The 21410-nt window shown below is 46.9% G+C and overlaps 1 long non-coding RNA gene across 51 annotated transcripts in view, besides 2 other annotated features; it reads right to left on the bottom strand.

Moving 5' to 3' along the window:
• PVT1 (Pvt1 oncogene) overlaps positions 1-21410 on the bottom strand; it is a 306733-nt gene that overhangs the window by 249647 nt on the left and 35676 nt on the right. The gene's annotated exons all lie outside the window — the stretch shown is intronic.
• Positions 1220-1837: an enhancer, noted in NCBI's record as "H3K27ac-H3K4me1 hESC enhancer chr8:128862019-128862636 (GRCh37/hg19 assembly coordinates)". NCBI's record gives its function as "activates a minimal SCP1, AML or CMV promoter by ChIP-STARR-seq in naive H9 embryonic stem cells {active_cell/tissue: H9 hESC(naive)}" and the evidence as "EXISTENCE:reporter gene assay evidence [ECO:0000049][PMID:30033119]".
• Positions 4918-5103: a silencer, noted in NCBI's record as "fragment chr8:128858753-128858938 (GRCh37/hg19 assembly coordinates)". NCBI's record gives its function as "represses an EF-1alpha promoter that drives an FKBP-Casp9 reporter gene in an ReSE screen in HepG2 liver carcinoma cells {active_cell/tissue: HepG2}" and the evidence as "EXISTENCE:reporter gene assay evidence [ECO:0000049][PMID:32094911]".

Genomic DNA, 21410 nt, shown 5'->3' with positions numbered 1-21410 from the left:
TGACCTCACAGTGGAGGCAGAAGAGGCCACATCCAGAGAATGGCTGTGTCCGTGCAGCATGGATTACAGACCAATTGGTGCTAGGCTCTGGGCTGGGTGTTTTGCTACATCATCTCACTTGCTCACCAAAAGCCTGCAAAGCCCACACTATTATCCTCAGGGTACAGATGAGGGCCATGGGCGGGGGTGGCTCAAAGGAGTTAAACAACCAGGTCACACTGCTTGGAACTGAATTTGCATTAGAAACTCAAGATTCTCTAATTCCATGGCCCTTGTTCTTACCATGCACACACAGTGCACCCCAAAGAAAGGGGGAAACAAAAACCTCAGAAGAGCACCCACTCCAAACGAATACATCAATTAGGGTGACACTTATAGAGCAGGCCATGTGACAAACAAGCCAGCAAATGACTCACAACACCCGGATTCACCACCCACCTGCCAAAGTTTATATTTAAAATTGAGTTTCCTTCATCCCCAGTTTTATTGTTTCGTTTTGATTTGTTCTGAATTCCTGTTTTAATATAAAATGCTTAAAAATGCTTAGAAATCTTTTCATAACTACATTTTATCTTTTTTTATTTTTTTTTAATTTTTTTTTTTGAGACAGAGTCTCCCTCTATCACCCAAAGTGGAGTGCTATGGCACGATCTTGGCTCATTGCAATCTCCAGCTCCTGGGTTCAAGTGATTCTCCTGCCTCAGCCTCCCCAGTAGCTGGAATTACAGGCGCCCACCTACTTTTTGTATTTTTAGTAGAGGCGGGGTTTTGCCATGTTGGCCAGGCTGGTCTTGAACTCCTGACCTCAGGTGATCCACCCACTTCAGCCTCCCAAACTGCTGGGATTACAGGCGTGAGCCACCGCTCCTGATCACAACTACATGTTCTTAACTTAAAAAGGCACTGTGACATTATTTCCACAGTTACCCAATCAGTGAGTCTACATAAAAAATGAAAGAATAAAATTCACATCAATCTTACTTGTTTAATCCCATGTGCAGACACCAATTATGTCAGGCAAAGTCGCTATTCTTAACATCTGCAAAGCTGGCTGTGCATGGGTCCACACCATCACTGTGTCTTACTATACAAACCACAGTGCTCTGTGGTATGAAATCTACACCAATCATTTTCATCATTAATTATCTTCTTTAGGATACCTGAACCAGGGCCGTGGCATCATAACCAAAAGTGCAAACATGTGCCCCCAACAGATGCTGGTGGCCTGAGTTTCCAGTCAGGTTTCCAATGTGTATCAAACAAGCCACAGAGATTACAAATCTTTTCCAAAATAAAGGTTCCTTTTCCAGGCCAAAGTACTACTCCCTGATAACCTATGTTGTAAACCAGACCGACCGCTAGGTCCTCTTAAAGGGAGGCACACCTTTGCCTAACTGCCCTAGGGTGGGTGGTATAGAAAGCAGCACTCTCTCAAATGGCCTTTAAGGAAGTTTCTAGTCCCTCAGGGTCCCTCACTCCCCTCACATACCCACAGGCTCACACACATGTAGTTACAGGCTGTGTACCCATGCATATGCAAGCAGGAGCACACATACACATATGTACAGGCTGTGCACCCATGCACGTGCACACAGGAGCACAAATACACATATGTACAGGCTGTGCACCCACGCACGTGCACGCAGGAGCACACACACACATATGTACAGGCTGTGCACCCACGCACGTGCACGCAGGAGCACACACACACATATGTACAGGCTGTGCACCCACGCACGTGCACGCAGGAGCACACACACACATATGTACAGGCTGTGCACCCACGCACGTGCACGCAGGGGCACACACACACATATGTACAGGCTGTGCACCCACGCACGTGCACGCAGGGGCACACACACACATATGTACAGGCTGTGCACCCACGCACGTGCACGCAGGGGCACACACACACATATGTACAGGCTGTGCACCCATGCACGTGCACGCAGGGGCACACACACACATATGTACAGGCTGTGCACCCATGCACATGCACGCAGTCTTTCTCTTTTCTTATTTTCAAGTGTCCCTGATTCTTATTCCACCTCTTTTTACCTCGATGGCATAACTAGGAGTGTGAATGATAGCTACCACTTCATAGGAACGGCAAGGCCCTAGGAGTTTTTCATAGGATCCTACCTTTATCTGATTGAAAACCAGTCTTTCCACCTCCTGGGAACACCTTGTTTCGAAAGCTGGGCCAAGCTGCAAGTTCTGCCTAATCCTCAATAAGTGGAAGCCTATGAGGGTCCCCAGAGCTGTTTTTCACCCATGGTTTACTTCCACTTTGTCACCAAACTGCTCTGACCCTGTCTTAGAGGCACTGAAAAGGTAAAGGTCTCCCAAGGCCTAAGGAAAAGAACAGAAAACAGCCTCAGCCAGGGTCTGCCAGCCTAAAACCTCCAGGATCCCCAGGCCGGCATTATCTGCCACCTACTCTCTAACCCCCTTCCCTTGTCTTTGGCAAACTCACTAAATGAACACACACTCTTCCTACTGAGCCAGGGCACCATAAGGCTCTCAGCAGCCACCCAACCAATCAGGGTTGGCACAGAGAAAGAGACTAGCTGGCATCCCCTTCCCAGCAATTCAGCATCACACAGGAGAGCCCCTGGGATCTGACTCCCAGCTGTGTCTCCAACCCCACCTCCCTTCAGCGTGGTCCACACCATGCCCTGGGGAGGGCTTCAGTCCTCTCTAGGCCTGGACCTCCTCCCCTAAGGCCCAGCAATATCTCAGAGGGCCTTTCCACACTATGCAAGCATCATGTCCTCTGCCAGGCTGTACCAGTACCACCCTGAGCACAACTGTTCCCACAGCCCTTTATTGGAGCACTAGGGGTGGTGGTCACCAGCTTTTCCAGTTTTGAGGAGTATTGGTCAAATTTGTTGGCCTTTTTTGTTTGTTTGTTTGTTTTTTATCTGAGACGGAGTTTCGGTCTTGTTGCCCAGGCTGGAGTGCAATGGCGCGATCTCAGCTCACTGCAACCTCTGCCTCCCGGGTTCAAGCGATTCTCCTGCCTCAGCCTCCCAAGTAGCTGGGATTACAGGCATGTGCCACCACGCCCGGCTAATTTTGTATTTTTAGTAGGGATGGGGTTTCTCCATGTTGGTCAGGCTGGTCTTGAACTCCCGACCTCAGGTGATCCGCCCACCTCAGCCTCCCAAAGTGCTGGGATTACAGGCGTGAGCCACTGCGCCCAGCCAAATTTGTGGTTTTGGAGAGATGAGGTCTTGCTATGTTGCCCAGGCTGGCCTCGAATTCCTGGGCTCAAGCAACCCCCTGCCTCAGCCTCCCCAGTAGCTGAGACTACAGGCACATGCCACCACACCTGGCTTTGGTCAGGTGTATTATAGGGATATGCAACCGGGATTTATATCAGTCGCGTGAATAGAACATAACCTTGACATGTGATAAGAACTGACGTTTTACCTCTGGGGTCTCCCTCCTAAAAATGCATAACCCCAGCCTAATCATGACAAGGTTATAAACTTTTTAAATTAAATGTATGATAGATAATATACTCAATGTTTGAGCTGCTCCCGATTTCAATATATTCATGCTTCAAAATTCAAATGATACCCAAAGATACGCAATCAAGAGTCTCCTTCATAGTCTGAGGTTGCAGCAAGCTATGATCACACCACTGCACTCCAGCCTGGGCCACAGAGTGAAACCTTATCTCTGAAAAGAAAAAAAAAATCTTCTTCATGCATCTTCCTCCCTAACCCAGTCTCCCCTCCCTGCATCTCCCTCCTCCCACCACGCACAGGCCACCACTTGTGTTGGTTTCCTGTGCATCCTAACAGAGTTTGTGCAAAGACACATTTTTACATCCCCTCTACACCCATGCTTTTTTTTTACAGAAAAGATGGCATGCCATACTCCCCGCTCCACATTGTGCTTTTTGTGTCAACAATACATCCTGAGATCTCCCCGTGTTTGTGCACACAGCACTTCCTTATTCCTTTCCGCATCTTGCCTAGCACAATGTGTCATCATTTGCCAGTCTTCAACTCACAGATGTTTGAGTTACTCCCAGTCTTTTGCTTTTATAAAAATGTTCCATGAATAACCTTGGGCACTGTTCTTTTCCTACAAATATCTATAGGTTATCTCTGTAGGGGAAATATCCCAATGTCCCAACATGAGATGGCCAGGTCAAAGGGCACATGCTTTTGTAGTTTGGATAGAGAATGCCAAAAGGCCATAATTCTTCCCAAAGGGCCACATCCACTTGCATTCCGTCCAGCAACACAGCTTTTGCCAACAACAGAGCGCATCAACAACATGTGTATTATACAACGTTGGTATTTTTTATCTGTATTTCCTTTTTTAGGATTGGGTAGAGCAACTTATCAAAGTGTCATTTGGGGCCAAGAGTTCGACTATCCTGGCCAACATGGTGAAACCCTGTCTCTACTAAAAGTACAAAAATTAGCCAGGTGTGGTGGTGGGCGCCTATAATCCTAGCCACTCCAGAGGCTGAGGCAGGAGAATTGCTTGAACCTGGGAAGCGGAGGTTGCAGTGAGCTGAGATCTCACCACTGCACTCCAGCCTGGGCAACAAAGCAATACTCCATCTCAACAACAACAACAACAACAAAAAAAAAAAAAAAAAAAAAAGGCCATGTGCAATGGCTCACGCTTGTAATCCCAGCACTTTGGGAGGCCGAGGTGGGCGGATCACCTGAGGACAGGAGTTCAAGACCAGCCTGTCCCAAATGGCGAAACCCCATCTCTACCAAAAATACAAAAAAAAAAAAAATTTGCTGGGTGTGGTGGCAGGCACCTGTAATCCCAGCTACTTGGGAGGGTGAGGCAGGAGAATCGCTTGAATCCGGAAGGCAGAGGTTGCAGTGAGCCGAGATTGCGCCACTGCACTCCAGCCTGGGCAACATCTCAAAAAAAAAGAGAGTACCATTTGGGGCCCCTTTCCTGTGAGCTGTCTTTATATTGTGCAGACCCATTTCCCACACAGCTATCAGCTACACCAGCTGCCACTCGGCCATGAGCTAGTCTCCGTGGGTGGTGGGTGCAACTTGGAAACACACGGCACAGGCTCCAGTCATCAGGGAGTTGATCCAGGAGAATGCTCACATGTAAAGGAAGGCTTCAGCCTGAGGGAACATGCAGTAGGAATGCAAGGGTAAGAGCAAGGATCATTCTAGAAAGGAAAAGCTCACTTAGGAAATGTGATTAACCACGGCCTCCAAGTACTACCTGCTCCTTGGAGAGAGAGGAGACCAGGAAAGGTGCCCCACACAGGTAATCCTGTTTAGTAGGGAGATAAGGCCAAAGACACCATGGACACCCACCAGGGACTCAACAAAAGCCAAGTAACCGGGTCTTACCGTGAAAAAATGGAGAACTCTCCCACCTGTTCTTTCTTTCCATTCTACTGACATTTCCAGACTGGTTACTTTGTTCACTTTTATTACCACTTAGTTCAGTAGCTCTTAAAGCTCCAGTCACCTGAAGAGCCCTTACAAAGCACATGTGCAGCCCTGGAGGGGTCCACGATGTGTGCTTGGGAAAGGCTCCAGGGTGAGTGATTCTCATGGGTATCTCTGATAAAGGACTACCACCCAGCTCAGGGCTGACAGGGCCAGCACAGCCTTCCTGGGACCCCGCTAAGAACAGACCTTTCAAAGTGTGGGTGGGATGTGACAGAGAAGCTAAGACAAATAGGAGTGACCTTTCCGCCGAGTTTTGTTCAAGTGAGAGAGAAAAATCGCCAGTGTCAGAGAGATGTCCACCTTGGAAATCTCTTTTGAACACAAAATCCTCGCCAGGCCTGGAGGCTGTGGATGGGAAAACAGGACACTCTGTTCTGCAATTATCTCAGGTCTACTAAGAATTCTTCCCAAGACCAGAGACACCCTGGGCAGTTCATCTGCATATCTAATGTATTATTTATGCCCCTGCCGGCTTCCAGAATGCTCTGGGTCATATCACTTGCATAATCCCATCCGGTAGGTGGAAGACAATAATGTTGAGTCTGCTATATAAGTATGTTTGGGGTCAAGGACTAGCATTCTTAAGTTCCTAGACTCACACAGTATTTTTGGCTAGCCATTCTTCTCTGTTTCAGCGTACGATGGGTCTAGGCTTTCAAATGCTTCAAATACTGTTAAACTTCCTCCTCCTCCCCACTTTCACCCTCTCCCCTCTGTCCCAGCCAGTCCACCAGAGAGCCATTCCTGTATCTTGGGCATGACTCCTTGAAAGCCATGAGGATCTCCCTCTTCTATAGGGACTTGAGAAAACACTCTTCATTTAGGCCATTCATGCAACAATAATCTAGATCCAAGCTCAGTCCCCAGCTCCTCACTCTGACCATTAGCTCCAAGGAAACAAGCCACCTCAGCCCCCACAATGAAGCCAGTGCTTTAGGCAGGCCCCCAGTGCCATCCCTCGTCACAACACACACCTTATTTCTCAGATTTTATACCCTGCAAAGGGCTAAATTCTAAACACACCTCATTTAAGAAACCTTTCCCCACTACTACAACCAACACCCCCCACACATAAAACACCTGCTAGGTTCCAGGCGCTGTCCCAGGCAGTGAGATGCATGTAAAACACACCTCCGGCCGGGCGTGGTAGCTCACGCCTGTAATCCCAGCACTTTGGGAGGCCGAGGCAGGTGGATCACGAGGTCAGGAGATCGAGACCATCCTGGCTAACACAGTGAAACCCCGTCTCTACTAAAAATACAGAAAATTAACCAGGCGTGGTGGTGGGCGCCTGTAGTTCCAGCTACTCGGGAGGCTGAGGCAGGAGAATGGCATGAACCCAGGAGGCGGAGCTTGCAGTGAGCCGAGATCGTGCCACTGCACTCCAGCCTGGGCAACAGAGTGAGACTCCATCTTAAAAACAAACAAAAAAACAAAAACAAAACAAAAAAAAAACACACCTCCATTCCTACCCAAGAAGTTCAGTCGAGTGGATGAGACAGGAATTCTGATGCAAGAGGATGAAAAGGGCTCTGTTCACAGTTAACACAGGGATCTCTGGCAGCCTATTCTAAAGATTGGAAGTCAGGGAGAACTTCCTGGGGGAGGTGGCATGAGTTGCATCTTTAGGAAGCAAAGAAGATTAAAAGGTTACAAGTTGTTGTGTGGGTTGTAGAGGAATGGGTGGAGACAAGCTGAGTTTCTAAGGCCTCATGGGCAAGGGACAGAAGGACAACAAACTGTGTGAAACATACCCACCCAAGAGCACGGATGCACAAATAAAGGTGGTCTTGGCTCTGCCCACTGCTTCACACTTGTCATTTCAGACCCATTATGAGGCTGCAATCAGGACTGGGCGGCTTTTCTCATTCACGAGAGGGCACTACATTCTGCTAACTCATGCAAAGAGACCCTTTTAATAATGTAGACATGCCAGGAGATCAAGACCATCCTGGCTAACACGGTGAAACCCCAACTCTACTAAAAATACAAAAAAAATTAGCCGGGCATGGTGGTGGGCGCCTGTAGTCCCAGCTACTCAGGAGGCTGAGGCAGGAGAACGGCATGAACCCGGGAGGCAGAGCTTGCAGTGAGCCGAGATTGCGCCACTGCACTACAGCCTGGGTGACAGAGCAAGACTCCGTCTCAAAAAAAAAATAATAATAATGTAGACATGCATCAATAATTCAGAGGCTAGGAGGCTCCCCAGAGAAACCATGAAGAATATCAACAATCCCCTGCCACAGGACTTAGCAGCTTTGGAAGGCATCGTCCAAGCAGCCACTCTGGAAAGAAAGGTGCTTCTCTCAAGCAATCTGTACAAAGCTCCCTGTGAACACATCACATCTAGTCTGCCCAGGAAGACAAGGGATTCCCACCTCCTATTAAAAAAACAGCCAAACAGGCCAGGCGTGGTGGCTCACGCCTGTAATCCCAGCACTTTGGGAGGCCGGAGAGGGTGGATCACAAGGTCAGGAGATCGAGACCCTCCTGGCTAACATGGTGAAACCGCGTCTCCACTAAAAATACAAAAAAAAATTAGCCGGTCGTGGTGGCGGGCGCCTGTAGTCCCAGCTACTCAAGAGGCTGAGGCAGGAGAATGGCGTGAACCCGGGAAGCGGAGCTTACAGTGAGCCGAGACCGCGCCACTGCACTCCAGCCTGGGCAACTGAGCAAGACTCCATCTCTAAAAAAATAAAAACAGCCAAACAGGCATCTCTCAAGAGCTGTTTGATTTACAAAAACTTGGCAAGGATAAACCTCTTCCAACCATATTACCTGTTTTGTTGTTTGTTTGTTTTTTGAGACAGAGTCTCGCTCTGTTGCGCAAGCTGGAGTGCAGTGGCATGATCCCAGCTCACCGCAACCTCCACCTCCCGGGTTCAAGCAGTTCCCTCCTGAGTAGCTGGGATTACAGGCATGCACCATCACACTCAGCTAATTTTTGTATTTTTAGTAGAAATGGGGTTTTGCCATGTTGCCCAGGTTGGTCTCGAACTCCTGACCTCAAGTGATCCACCCGCCTCAGCCTCCCAAAGTGCTGAGATTACAGGCACGAGCCACCGTGCCCAGCCCATATCACTATTTTTATCCTCAGAACCTGTGTGGTAGGTAGGGTCCCATCTGTCACTTCTGTAGACCAGGAAACTGGGGCTCTTGCCTATTGGTCATACATTCAGAAGACTCCAGAGAGGGTATTGTGACCTGGCCTTCTAGCCCTATGCTACTTGCTCTCTACTATACGAACTCTAGGAAGTTGGGTACTAGGCAATCTGTTAAGGCCACCTCATTCAACCCCCTTTGAGAGCCGGCACAGGAGCTGAGGGCCTCTGTGACTTGGTGACCCATCTCACTCAGATGCTATCTCTTGAAATTGATTAATTGGCTCAGGGATGAAAAGGTCTCTTCTGAAGCAAGAGGGAGGGTTGGTGCACAGTGATCACTTCATTATTGGCCCTGTCTCACCCTCTTTGGAGGAGTGGACAGATGACCCTCCAAGACGGCTGGGTCTTGGAGAGACTCGGCCTTTCTGTGGAGTCCAGAGTTGCTACTTGGGAATGGGGAGACAAAAAATTCAACACAGGCCATGCACAGTGGCTCACACCTTTAATCTCAACTCGCTGGGAGGCTGAGGTGGTAGGATTGCTTGAAGCCAGGAGTTCAAGACCAGCCTGAGCAACAAAGAGAGACCCTATCTCTACAAAAAAAATTTAAATTAAAAAAAAAATAGCCTGGTGCGGTAGCGCACACCTGTATTCCCAGCTATTCAGGAAGCTGAGGCAAGAGGATCACTGGATCCCAGGAGTTGAAACCTGCAGTGAGATATGATTGTACTTCTGCACTCCAGCCTGGGTGATGGAGCAAAATTCTTTCTTAAAAAAAAAAAAAAAATCCAGAGCAGTTCCACAAAAGAGCAAAGCCGTTTTCCAGTTTTTGTCTTAAAAACTCTAAATTGACTTAAAAAAAATTTAAAGAGGAAAGCATTAAATCCATGGATTCAAAAAACTATTTCTGCAAAAGTTTAAATGGGCCATACAACTTTTAAAAATAAGATAACAAAATATATATAAATAAAAAATATAATAACAAATATAAATAAATAATAATTTTAAAATAACAACTTTAGCCAGGCGCAGTGGCTCACGCCTGTAATCCAAGCACTTTGGGAGGCCGAGGAGGGTGGATCACAAGGTCAGGAGTTCAAGACCAGCCTGGCCAACACGGTGAAACCCCGTCTCTACTAAAAAGACAGAAATTAGCTGGGGGTAGTGGCGCACACCTGTGGTCCCAGCTACTTGGGAGGCTGAGGCATGAGAATCACTTGAACCTGGGAGGCAGAGGTTGCAGTGAGCCAAGATTGTGCCACTGCACTCCAGCCTGGGTGACAGAGTGAGACTGTCTCAGAAAGAAGAAAAAAAAAAGCAGATGTGTAGCTCCTGGGTCAGATGATGAGGCACAAAATTGCATCTGTGATGAGAAGTACACCAAGTCTGGGGTCAAGACTTGGATGCTACCACAGATCTTACCTCAGCCATGGCATTTAGCCTCTTGCTGTCTAATTTCACCTCCTATAAAATGGAGCTAATAAGCCACATGTGGTGGCTCACGCCTATAATCTCGCTGAAGTGGGCAGATCACTTGAGGTCAGGAGTTCAAGACCAGACTGGCCAACATGGCAAAACCCCCTCTCTACTAAAAATACAAAAATTAGCCAAGCGTGGTGGTGCATGCCTGTAATCCCAGCTACTTGAGAGGCTGAGGCGGGAAGATCACTTGAACCTGGGAGGTGAAGGTTGCAGTGAGCCAAGATGGCACTACTGCACTCCAGCCTGGGTGATAGAGCAAGACTGTCTCAAGAAAAATAAAAAAATAAAATAAAATAAATGGGGCTAATAGTACCTACCTCCCCTTCCTTCAGGCCAACAAGAGGTGGATGAAGATCTAACCCTGAGCTGAAAGGGAATCTGCTGAACAGGTACTATGTGCCAGGCACATGCCAAGCGCTTCTTGCCTTACTCTCAAATGCCCTCTGATGTATACTTTCCCCATTTTACAGGACTGAGGACTCAAAGACAGCAAGCATTGTTTCCCAAACCATCGATTCCCGGAGCAAGCTTTGGGGCACACAAAGGTGAAAAAGAGGTTGCTGCCTGCAGTGGGTTTCCAGATGACTTGGTGCCTTGGTCACAGCAGCAGAACCTGACAGAACTGGAAGCTGTCTGAACAGCCGCTTCCTTCTTCATTCGCCATCCCACTCAAGTGTGTTCTCCCTCCCCTGGGCATCCTAAGAGAACCAGCTCATTAAAAGAGACTTGGCTGTAGCGTGGCCTGAGAAGATACTGGCCAACTTTTCATTCCCTGGTTGGACAGGACCAGCTTCCTGCATGGGCAGGACCAGTTCGGTGCCACCCTCTTAGGGGAACAAATCCAGACAAGAAAGCTTTTGTGTGTCCAGCTCTGCGGAAGCACAGCTAGGAGAGTGGCAGGGTCCCCAAGGCCAGGAGCCGGTCCCACCAAGGTGTGGCCAGGGCTGCCAGCACAGGTCTCCTCCCTTTTGGAGCCAGTCTCCCGGCATCCCACACTATTTTAAGGCCTTTGGAGATCCAAACAGGATTCAAGCCTTGCCCAGGACGGCCTGTAAAAGTTTTCCACTGGAACAAAGATTTAAATGCTGTAACTCAAAACATGACTTTACAATGGGCTCTGATTATCAAACGTTCCAGAATATCCTCTTTTGAGACACTGCTCCTTTCTCTTTCCTGTCATTTACAGGCTGGCTGGCATGAGGCACGTAGTCTGGACTGGGCAGACGTCTCCTCTGAAGACATTGGAGGAAAGGGCCTTTTCCTCCTCAGCACTCATCCTGAGAAAGGGAGAGGAAGGGGTGACTGTTCACACCTAGCATAGAGAAAGACGTTCTCCTGATGGCAGTGGCCGTGATGCACACATCTGCTCAAACCCTCCACTGGCTTCCTGCTCCTTCCGAAGAAAGCCAAAGGCCCTGTGTAGTGTGGACCCCGGCCTCTCTGACTTCACCTTCTACCCCCTTTACCTGCTCACTCCTCTCCAGCCATTGGGACTTGGGTATTCTCTAGTTCCCCTCCCTCCCGACTCAATCCATTGTCTGCTCTGTGCCAAGAAGCAGATGCCTGTGGGCTCCAAGAACAGCTCCCCAGTGCACTGGCCATCAACTGTGTTTAGCCAATGGGAGGCACCAGCAGGAGGTCAGAGGGCAGAAGAAGGGAGAGTTCACAGCAGGAGTGACAGGTCCCTCTCCACATGGCAGCGGCTGGGTACCCCACACTGCAGCCAATCCTCCCCAGCCCTGGCAACACTGTACCACCCCCATGATCCATGTTGGCTCCTTAACCTTCTCTGACACCTTCCCTAACACCTCTGTCCACAGTCTCTTCCTTAAACCTCCCTTCCTCAGCTGAGCCATTAGACCCTGACTGATGCACGGGCTCATGACCCATCTGGGTGTTTCGTATGCCCTCTGCCTGCCTTATTATCTGGCTTCAAGTCCCAGCTCTTTTTTTAATTATTTTATTTATTTTTTTTTATTTTTTTTTTCATTTTTTTTTTATTTTTTATTTTTGAGATAGGATCTCACTCTCTCACCCAGGCTGGAGTGCAGTGGCACAATCACGGCTCACTGCAGGCTTGACCTCCCAGGCTCAAGCCATCCTTCCACTTCAGCCTTCTGGGCAGCTGGGACCACAAGTCTATGCCACCATGCCCGGCTAATTTTTTTATAATTTTGGTAGAGGTAGGGTCTCCCTCTGTTGCCCAGGCTGGTCTCAAACTCCTCTCCTGAAGTGATCCTATTCCCCTTGGACTCCCAAAGTGCTGGAATTACAGGCACGAGCCACTGCACCCAGCCCGCCTTTTATTATATGGGTGACCTTGGGCCAAGTTAGTCAATTTCTTGCCACAGCTCCTTCATCTGTAAAATGGGGTGATGATAATAGGACAGTCACACGTTGCTTAAGGGTAGAGATACATTCTGAGAAATGCGGCGTTAGGCAATTTCGTTGTGCGAACATTACAGAGGGAGTTTGTACAAAACTAGATGACAGCCTACTCACTACACATCTGGACTATATGGTACAGCCTACTGCTTCTAGGCTGCAGTCCTGAATGGCATGTTACTGTACTGAACATCGGAGTCAACTTAATACAATGGTGAGCATTTGTGTATCTAATCATATCTAAACATAGAAGAAGTACAGTAAAAATACTGTATTATAATCTCATAGGGCCACCGTTGTATATACGGTCCATTGCTGATCCACACATCATTATGTGGTACATGACTGTACTTAGAACATAGGGTTATAACGAAGATGAAATGAGCTAATTGATGAAAAGCACCTAGAATAGTGTCTGGCACATAGTAGTAAACAATAAATAGAAGCTACCATTATTATTTATTACTATCATCAGAGTCAGGCTCACTCTGTTGACCAGGTTGGAGTCCAGTGGCACCATCTCGACTCACTGAAACTTCCACCTCCCGAGTTCAAGTGATTCTCCTGTTTCAGCTTCCTGAGTAGCTGGGATTACAGGTGCCTGCCAGCACACCCAGCTAAGTTTTGTATTTTTAGTAGAAACGGGGTTTCACCATGTTGGCCAGGCTGGTCTTGAACTCCTGACCTCAGGTAATCCACTCGCCTCAGCCTCCCAAAATGCTGGAATTACAGGCATGAACCACCGCACCTGGCTAGACCTTGTTTTTGACCCCATAGGGTTTACTTGATATTCCTCCAAATGACAAACCTTTAAACTACAGATTCCCAACAATTCTGAGCACAGGTTCCATTACCAGTATCTGTCCATAGCCTTGCAAGACAAGTACTTTAGGAAGGACAACCTCACTCTGCAGCAAATTGTGATGTGATATATAATCAGATATTACATATACACATATATTTTTAAAATTCATAAATGAGACCAGGTGCAGTGGTTCATGCCTGTAATTCCAGCACTTTGGGAGGCCGAGGTGGGTGGATCACCTGAGGTTGGGAGTTCGAGACCAGCCTGACTAACACAGAGAAACCCCATCCCTACTAAAAATACAAAATTAGCCGGGCATGGTGGCGCATGCCTGTAATCCCAGCTATTCAGGAGGCTGAGGCAGGAGAATCACTTGAACCCAGGAGGTGGAGGTTGCAGTGAGCCGAGATTGCACCACTGCACTCCGGCCTGGGCAACAAGAGTGAAACTCCGCCTCAAAAAAAAAAAAAAAATCATAAATAATCACACCCCTTTAGAGCTACAACTGATATTCTCTACCCCACAAAAATCTAAGTCAAGGAAGCAGTACATAGGCTGATCATACCTGACAACACAAAAGAGTATGAACACTGGGACAGAATTCCAAATCCTAGCCATGAGCTGGGGCAAGTTCCTCCCCTGGCTCCGTTTCCCCATCGCTAAACAATACTCATCTTCTCTGCTTCATAGGGTCACTTTGTAACTAACAACTGAAAGGGATGACCATTTAGCCTGGCACACAGGAGGGCCTCAATCAATATTAGTTCCTTTTTTCTCTTTAATAAAACAAAGTAATTGACATAGAAAACTCAGGAAATTATATAGGAATAATATACTCTAATGTTATCTACAGCCTCCGAAAAACAATAAATCAAGGGAATTTTTCAAAAGTACATTTTCCAAGTGCAATGGTTCATGAAGCCATTATGAGGTTTCCGAATTTCCCCTTAATTTCCGGTATTCAAAAAAAAAAAAACAACAACAAAAAACGCTTCAGTGATACAATGCCAGTGGCAGCAGCTGAGGCCCACCCCCGGCCTTCTTTTTTCCTTTTACAGGTTGAAAGGTGTTGCATGAAGCCTGCAGCCCGGCCAGAAAGACTTCAGCTGGATGGAAGGCGAGCCCATGGCCTCTTCTCTTGCATGTGGTGTTCCCAGCCAGAGACCCAAGCGTCTATCTCTACAGTCAGCCCACCCATGGCCCTTCTCTGGGGACTAGGTGATAATTATGGCTGAAGGGGCGTGGGGGTGTTTGTCAGTCATGAACAAGATTCCAAAGAGCGCTGCCACTTCCCAGACAAATAACAGACCCTCAGGGGGCCTGGCTTATGGTCCCATGGGCTAGAATCCATATCCTCAGGTGTGGGACAGGCCAGTGAAGTCCAACTGTAACCAGAACCACTCATGTCCACTGCCCATCACCTAGAGGATTTCATCACACCTGGCATGGGTGTGAAATGGGGAGTTTGAAAACAGAGAGCAGGTGGGGGACTCCCGGCCCAGCAGCCCCTCTCGGTGCAGTGCAGGCGCCAAGCGTGTGGACTCTGAAGCCATATGCCCAGGTATGAATCTAGGCTTTCTTGCTCGCTGACTGTGGGCCAAGTTTCTTATTGTAATACTCTGTGCCTCAGTCCTCTCCTCTGTAACATGGAGACAACTGTGGAAACTAAATGACGTAATGCACTTAAAGCAGTGCCTGTAACACACTGTAAGCACTCTTTTACGTTCTTATTTTATTATTAGCAGTCAGAGTTATTGCCATTACCTCCAGCCTCTGGATCTGCCCAGTTCTGGCCAGCTCCAACAAGGACATTCCATTTTCTTCCACCATGGAGGGGCTTCACTGCAGTCACTCCAAAATTTAGACTACATGGTTCAGCCTTGACCTAACCCTCTGCAGCCTGTATACAAGCATTTGCTCACCTTTCATAGAAAAAATAGCTAATGCATGCTGGGCTTAATAACTAGGTGATGGGTTGATAGGTGCAGCAAACCACCATGGCACACGTTTACCTATGCAACAAATCTGCACATCCTGCACATGTACCTCGGAATGTAAAATAAAAATTAAAATTAATTTTAAAAAAAGAATATGTATGAACCACCCACTGAGTGTCAGACAACACAGAGTTCAAGGACAAAGTCAGTTTCTTTTCTCTAGGGGAGGAGTCACACCAAAATCAAAGAGCCAAATAATTTAATAAATTTTTTTTACAGACTATGACTGGTGCCACAGTGAAATTCAGCAGCATCCAGTGATGAGAAATGGAGGTTAGGGAATGAGTCTATTAGAAGGGGTGGTCTGAGGAGGTGATATTGAAGTTAGGATGAGAATCAGCTTTTCAACAAGCTGGGGAAAAAGCATTCTAGGATCTGGGACCAGCAAGTGCAAAGGTCCTGTGGTGCCCAGGGAAGGGTGTCAGGGAACTGATCAAAGACCAGGATGTGGGGCTACAGAGGGAGGGACCACTTGATGAGGCTGGAAGACACTAGTGTTCACAAAATAACTCCGTGAATACTAAACAATCTTAGGCCTGCATAGTCTATCTAACAAATGAATTCTATTTACCTCATCCAATTGTGTGTGATTCCAACCTCTTCTTGACTACCTCTAGTGATGGAGAACTCACTCACTGCAATTTCAGAGAATGCTCATTCACTCGATCAACAGGAACAGGCTGCTCAGGATTTCAAAAAAGTCAGGAGATACAATGGGAAGCCTGGAGATAGGGTTTTTGTGGAGGTTTTTTGTTTGTTTGTTTGTACTTTAAGTTCTGGGATACATGTACAGAACACGCAGGTTTGTTACATAGATATGCGTGTGCCATGGTGGTTTGCTGCACCCATCAACCCATCTTCTAGGTTTTAAGCCCCGCATGCACTGGGTATTTCTCCTAATGCCATCCCTCCCCTTGCCCCCCATCCCCCAACAGGCCCCAGTGTGTGATGTTCCCCTCCCTGTGTCCATATGTTCTCATTGTTCAACTCCCACTTCTGAATGAGAACATGCTGTGTTTGGTTTTTCGTTCCTGTGTTAATTTGCTGAGAATGATGGTTTCCAGCTTCATCCAAGTCCCTGCAAAGGACATGAATGCATTCTTTTTTATGGCTGCATAGTATTCCATGGTGTATATGTGCCACATTTTCTTTATCCAGTCTATCAGTGATGGGCATTTGGGTTGGTTCCAGGTCTTTGCTATTGTAAAAAGTGCTGCTATAAACATATATGTGCATGTGTCTTTATAGTAGAATGATTTATAATCTTTTGGGTATATACCCAGTAATTGGATTGCTGGGTCAAATGGTATTTCTGGTTCTAGATCCTTGAGGAATCACCCCACTGTCTTCCACAATGGTTGAACTAATTTACATTCCCACCAACAGTGTAAAAGCGTCCCTATTTCTCCACATCCTCTCCAGCATCTGTTGTTCCCTGACTTTTTAATGATCACCATTCTAACTGGCATGAGATGGTATCTCATTGTGGTTTTGATTGCATTTCTCTAATGACCAGTAATGATGAGTTGTTTTTTGTTTTCTGTTTTTCATTTGTTTGTTGGCCATATAAATGTCTTCTTTTGAGAAGTGTCTGTTCACATCCTTTGCCCACTTTTTGATGGGGTTTTTGTTTGTTTGTTTGTTTGTTTTTTCCCCTGTAAATTTAAGTTCTTTGTAGATTCTGAATATTAGCCATTGGTCAGATGGATAGATTGCAAAAATTTTCTCCCATTCTGTAGGTTCCTTGTTGACTCTGATAGTAGTTTCTTTTGCTGTGCAGAAGCCCTTTAGTTTAATTAGATCCCATTTGTCAATTCTGGCTTTTGTTGCCATTGCTTTTGGTGTTTTAGTCATGAAGTCTTTGCCCATGCCTATGTCCTGAATGGTGTTGCCTAGGTTTTCATCTAGGGTTTTTATGGTTTTAGGTCTTATGTTTAAGCCTTTAATCCATCTTGAGTTAATTTTTGTATAAGGTATAAGGAAGGGGTCCAGTTTCAGTTTTCTACATATGGCTAGCCGGTTTTCCTGACACCATTATTAAATAGGGAATTCTTTCCCCATTGCTTGTTTTTGTCAGGTTTGTCAAAGTTCAGATGGTTGTAGATGTGTGGTATTATTTCTGAGGCCTCCATTCTGTTCCATTGGTCTATATCTCTGTTTTGGTACTAGTATCATGCTGTTTTGGCTACTGTAGCCTTGTGGTATAGTTTGAAGTTTAAGGTTTTAAGCAGACTCAGTGAACTCTGCTAGTTAATAAGTGTAGGTGAGGTTGTAAGCAGGCCACAGTGGAAGCAGAGGGCCCAAGTAGAAGATATTACCTATGGGCAGGGAGGAACAATGGTTCCTATGGGAAGACTTTGCTTAAAGTGAGATACAAGGTCGTCAACTTCAGTGTCACCTGTGAGCTTGTTAGATCCAATTCTCAGGCCTCATCCTAAGTCTCTAGGGAGGGGTCCAGCTGTCTGGGTTTCAACAAGCCCTTCTGGTGATTCTGACTACACTAAAATTTGAAAATCACTGGACTACAGGACTGATAATATTAACTAGAAAACAATGGTGTCCCCCAGGAATGGCTTCATATCCCTCTGGAGCCAGGCAGAGCCAATGCCCTCGGGCCAAGACATTAAGATCCATAAGGCAGGCTTGTAATCCCAGCACTTTGGGAGGCTGAGGCAGGTAGATCGCTTGAGTCCAGGAGTTCAAGACCAGCCTGGGCAACATGGTGAAACCTTGTCTCTACTAAAGATACAAAAATTAGCTGGGCATCATAGCATGCACCTGTAGTCCCAACTACTCGGGTGGCTGAGGTGGGAGGATTACTTAAGCCCAGGAAGCTGAGGTTGCAGTGAGATTGTGCCACTGCACTCCAGCCTGGGCGACAGAGCAAGACCCTGTCTGGGAAAAAAAAAAAAATCCATAAAGCAGTTTTCAGAGAAGACTCTGTCCATGGGATTGATGTTCACTTACCCCGGCTAGGACCGGGCGAGGCCAAGATAGAGGGCAGGAGAGAGGAGCAGCTTCAACATCTCTGCAGACACCATCACTGCAGCCACATTCCAGTTCCACAGAGGAATGCAGACAATCCTCACAATCCCCAGGGCAGGGCAGGAGGTAGAGAGGATTATGAAATGCCTGCTTGTTGACCAAAACCTACCTAGGGAATCTCACCGAATCCCTCAACAACCCAGAACAGTACTATTCTGTTTACTCCCTTTGGCTCCATAGGGCCCAACAGATTATGGCAATCCAGAAAGGCTGAGACCAGAGCCCCAAGTGGCCAAGACAACAAGAAAGGAGCCATAATAGTGTTGCCCACTGTCCCCTCCTATATATCTGGGGAGGTGGGGGGAGATTCCTCTCAAAGGTTTCTTGTTTTGTTCCAGAATGGTAAGAGATACTACTGTTCATTAAATAACTCCATGAATATCAGATAATCTCAGAGTTGGATAACCTTTTACCCAATACCTGAATTCTATTTACCTTATCCAATTGTGCAAGAATTTTTTTTTTTTCTTTTGAAACAGAGTCTCACTCTGTCGCCCAGGCTGGAGTGGAGTGGTGCGATCTCAGCTCACTGCAAGCTCCGCCTCCCGGGTTCACACCATTCTCCTGCCTCAGCCTCCCAAGTAGCTGGGACTACAGGCACCCGCCACCACGCCCGGCTAATTTTTTGTATTTTTAGTAGAGATGGGGTTTCACCATGTTAGCCAGGATGGTCTCTATCTCCTGACCTCGTGATCCGCCCGCCTTGGCCTCCCAAAGTGCTGGGATTACAGGCGTGAGCCACCACACCCGGCCATGTGCATGAATTTGATCTCTTCTTGATTACCTCTAGTGACATAGAACTCACTCACTGTGTTTTCAGAGAATGCTTATTTGCTAAATCAGTCACAAAACCACTTGCTGAACCAGGCATGACATTAAGTACTACAGTAAAAATGCCTGTTGATGATACCTTATCTGTCAGCAGGTTGACAGGCTATCTGGAATGCTGGGTAGAATTCTAAGCTGAGTCTGGGCTCAAAGGAAGAGAAGGTCATGATCAGCTAGTGATGCCTGCCATGGGTACCCAAGAGAAAGTAACAAGTGTGGCAAGCATTTGCTATCTCTGCGTGGGAATATAGAGATGTCATTCAGATCCTCCCTTCACTGGGTTCACAATCTAGCTAAGAAAACCAAGAAATGTAGCAAACCACAAAACACTGGGATGTATGCCGAGATGGGGGTGGAGGAGGGGTGCCTGACACATAACTCTTACTTTTAAGAAACAGCCTGAAAAAAAAACACTTGACGTTTTTAAGTTGTGGCTTTCTCATCTGTAAAATGGGAATAATACCTGCCTGCCCTGCCCAGCCTTTTCTGCAAAGATGTTGTTTTGAGAATCAAATGAGCTAATGGGTAGGTAAATACTAATGGTGACATTAGCCTTCAAGGAACCTACTGAAGACACTGATTTGCCTAAGCAAAGAGCAAAAGGCAATGAAGAGAGAGCAGAACGCAAGAGCAGTCACCTTCATTGGTCACTGGCTTCCTCTTGATTGCTCCCATGAGGCGCTCTTGCCAAGTTAGTCAACAACCTCCTTGATGCCAAATCTAACAGTCACTTCTGTGTGACTCATTCTACCCGACCTCTTAGCAACATTGCAAGTGATGACTCTCCTCCTTCCTTAAGAAGGTCTTCCTTCTCTAGGCTCCCGGCATGTTTTTCTGCCTCACCAGTGGCTCCTTGTAATCACCTTTTCCAGCTCCCCAACTTCTACCCCTACCACTAGTGGCCATGTCTAGTCCTATGTCCACTTTTCTATCTATACTCCACTCCCATGGATTTGGATCCCACCTCTGCCAAAATCTTCCAAATGCTATCTCCTACCATGATGGTCTCAATTCCCAGACTCACTTTGCCAAGTACCTAGTTGGCATCTCCTGTGGCCATTAATGGGCATCTGCAATTTAACATGCCTGCACAGAACTCTCTGCGCCCACAATCTACTGCCCATCTTCCCCGTGTCCATTGAAGACACCAGCATCTGCCAGGTTGCTGATGCCAAAAACCTAGGAGTCATTCTTTTTTTTTTTTAATTTTTTGTAGAGACAAGGTCTCTCTAAGTTGTCCAGACTGGTCTTGAACTCCTGACCTCAAACGGCCCTCCTGCCTCAGCCTCTGTATTAGTCAGGGTTCCCTGGAGGGACAGAACTAATAGGAGATATATATATATATAGAGAGAGAGAGAGAGATAGATATAGATATAGATATATACATACACACACACACGTATGTATATAAAGAGGAGTTTTATCTATATATATATACACACACACACACACACACACGTATGTATATAAAGAGGAGTTTATTAAATATTAACTTATACGATCACAAGGTCCCACAATAGTCTGTCTGCAAGTTTGAGGGGCAAGGAGAGCCAGTCCAAGCCTCAAAACTGAAGAACTTGGAGTCCGATGTCTGAGGGCAGGAAGCATCCAGTATGGGAGAAAGATGTAGGCTAAGAGGCTAGGCCAGTCTTGCATTTTCATGTTTTTCTGCCTGCTTTATATTCACTGGCAGCTGATTAGATTGTGCCCACCAGCTTAAGGGTGGGTCTGCCTTCCCCAGCCCACTGACTCAAATGTTAATCTCCTTTGGCAACACCCTCACAGACACACCTGGAAACAACACTTTGCATCCTTCAATCCAATCAAGTTGACACTCAGTATTAACCATCACAGCCCCGCAACGTGCTAGGACTATAGTAGGCATGAACCACCCAGCCTGACTCGTAGGAGTCATTCTTGATTCCCTTATTTTCTCACCTCCATATCCAATCCGTGTGCAAGTCCTATTGGCACAATTGCCCAGATAAATGTAAAATCTACGTTTTTCTCTCCGCTTTCTTTGCTACCACCAAGACACAGGCCACATCACTCTCTCCTGAAATAAAGCAATATGGTTTCCCCAACCCCACTCCCACACCCCCACATAGCAAGCTCCTTGCTTCCATCCCTGCCCCTCTCCACCTGCCAAGCCAACCACACCTCTCCCTCCACTTCTGCTATCTGGCCCTCGTGTTCCTCAAATAATCAGGCTTGCTCCTATCTTCTTCAAGAAATGTCTATCCATACCTCTGGTAAGTGACAATCATAAAAATACCAGATGCTGTCATCTGCCCAGATGTTG

Source organism: Homo sapiens, chromosome 8 (genome assembly GCF_000001405.40).
Source record: "Homo sapiens chromosome 8, GRCh38.p14 Primary Assembly".
Classification (NCBI taxonomy): Eukaryota; Metazoa; Chordata; class Mammalia; order Primates; family Hominidae; genus Homo; species Homo sapiens.
This window is presented reverse-complemented; position numbering and strand designations above follow the sequence as displayed.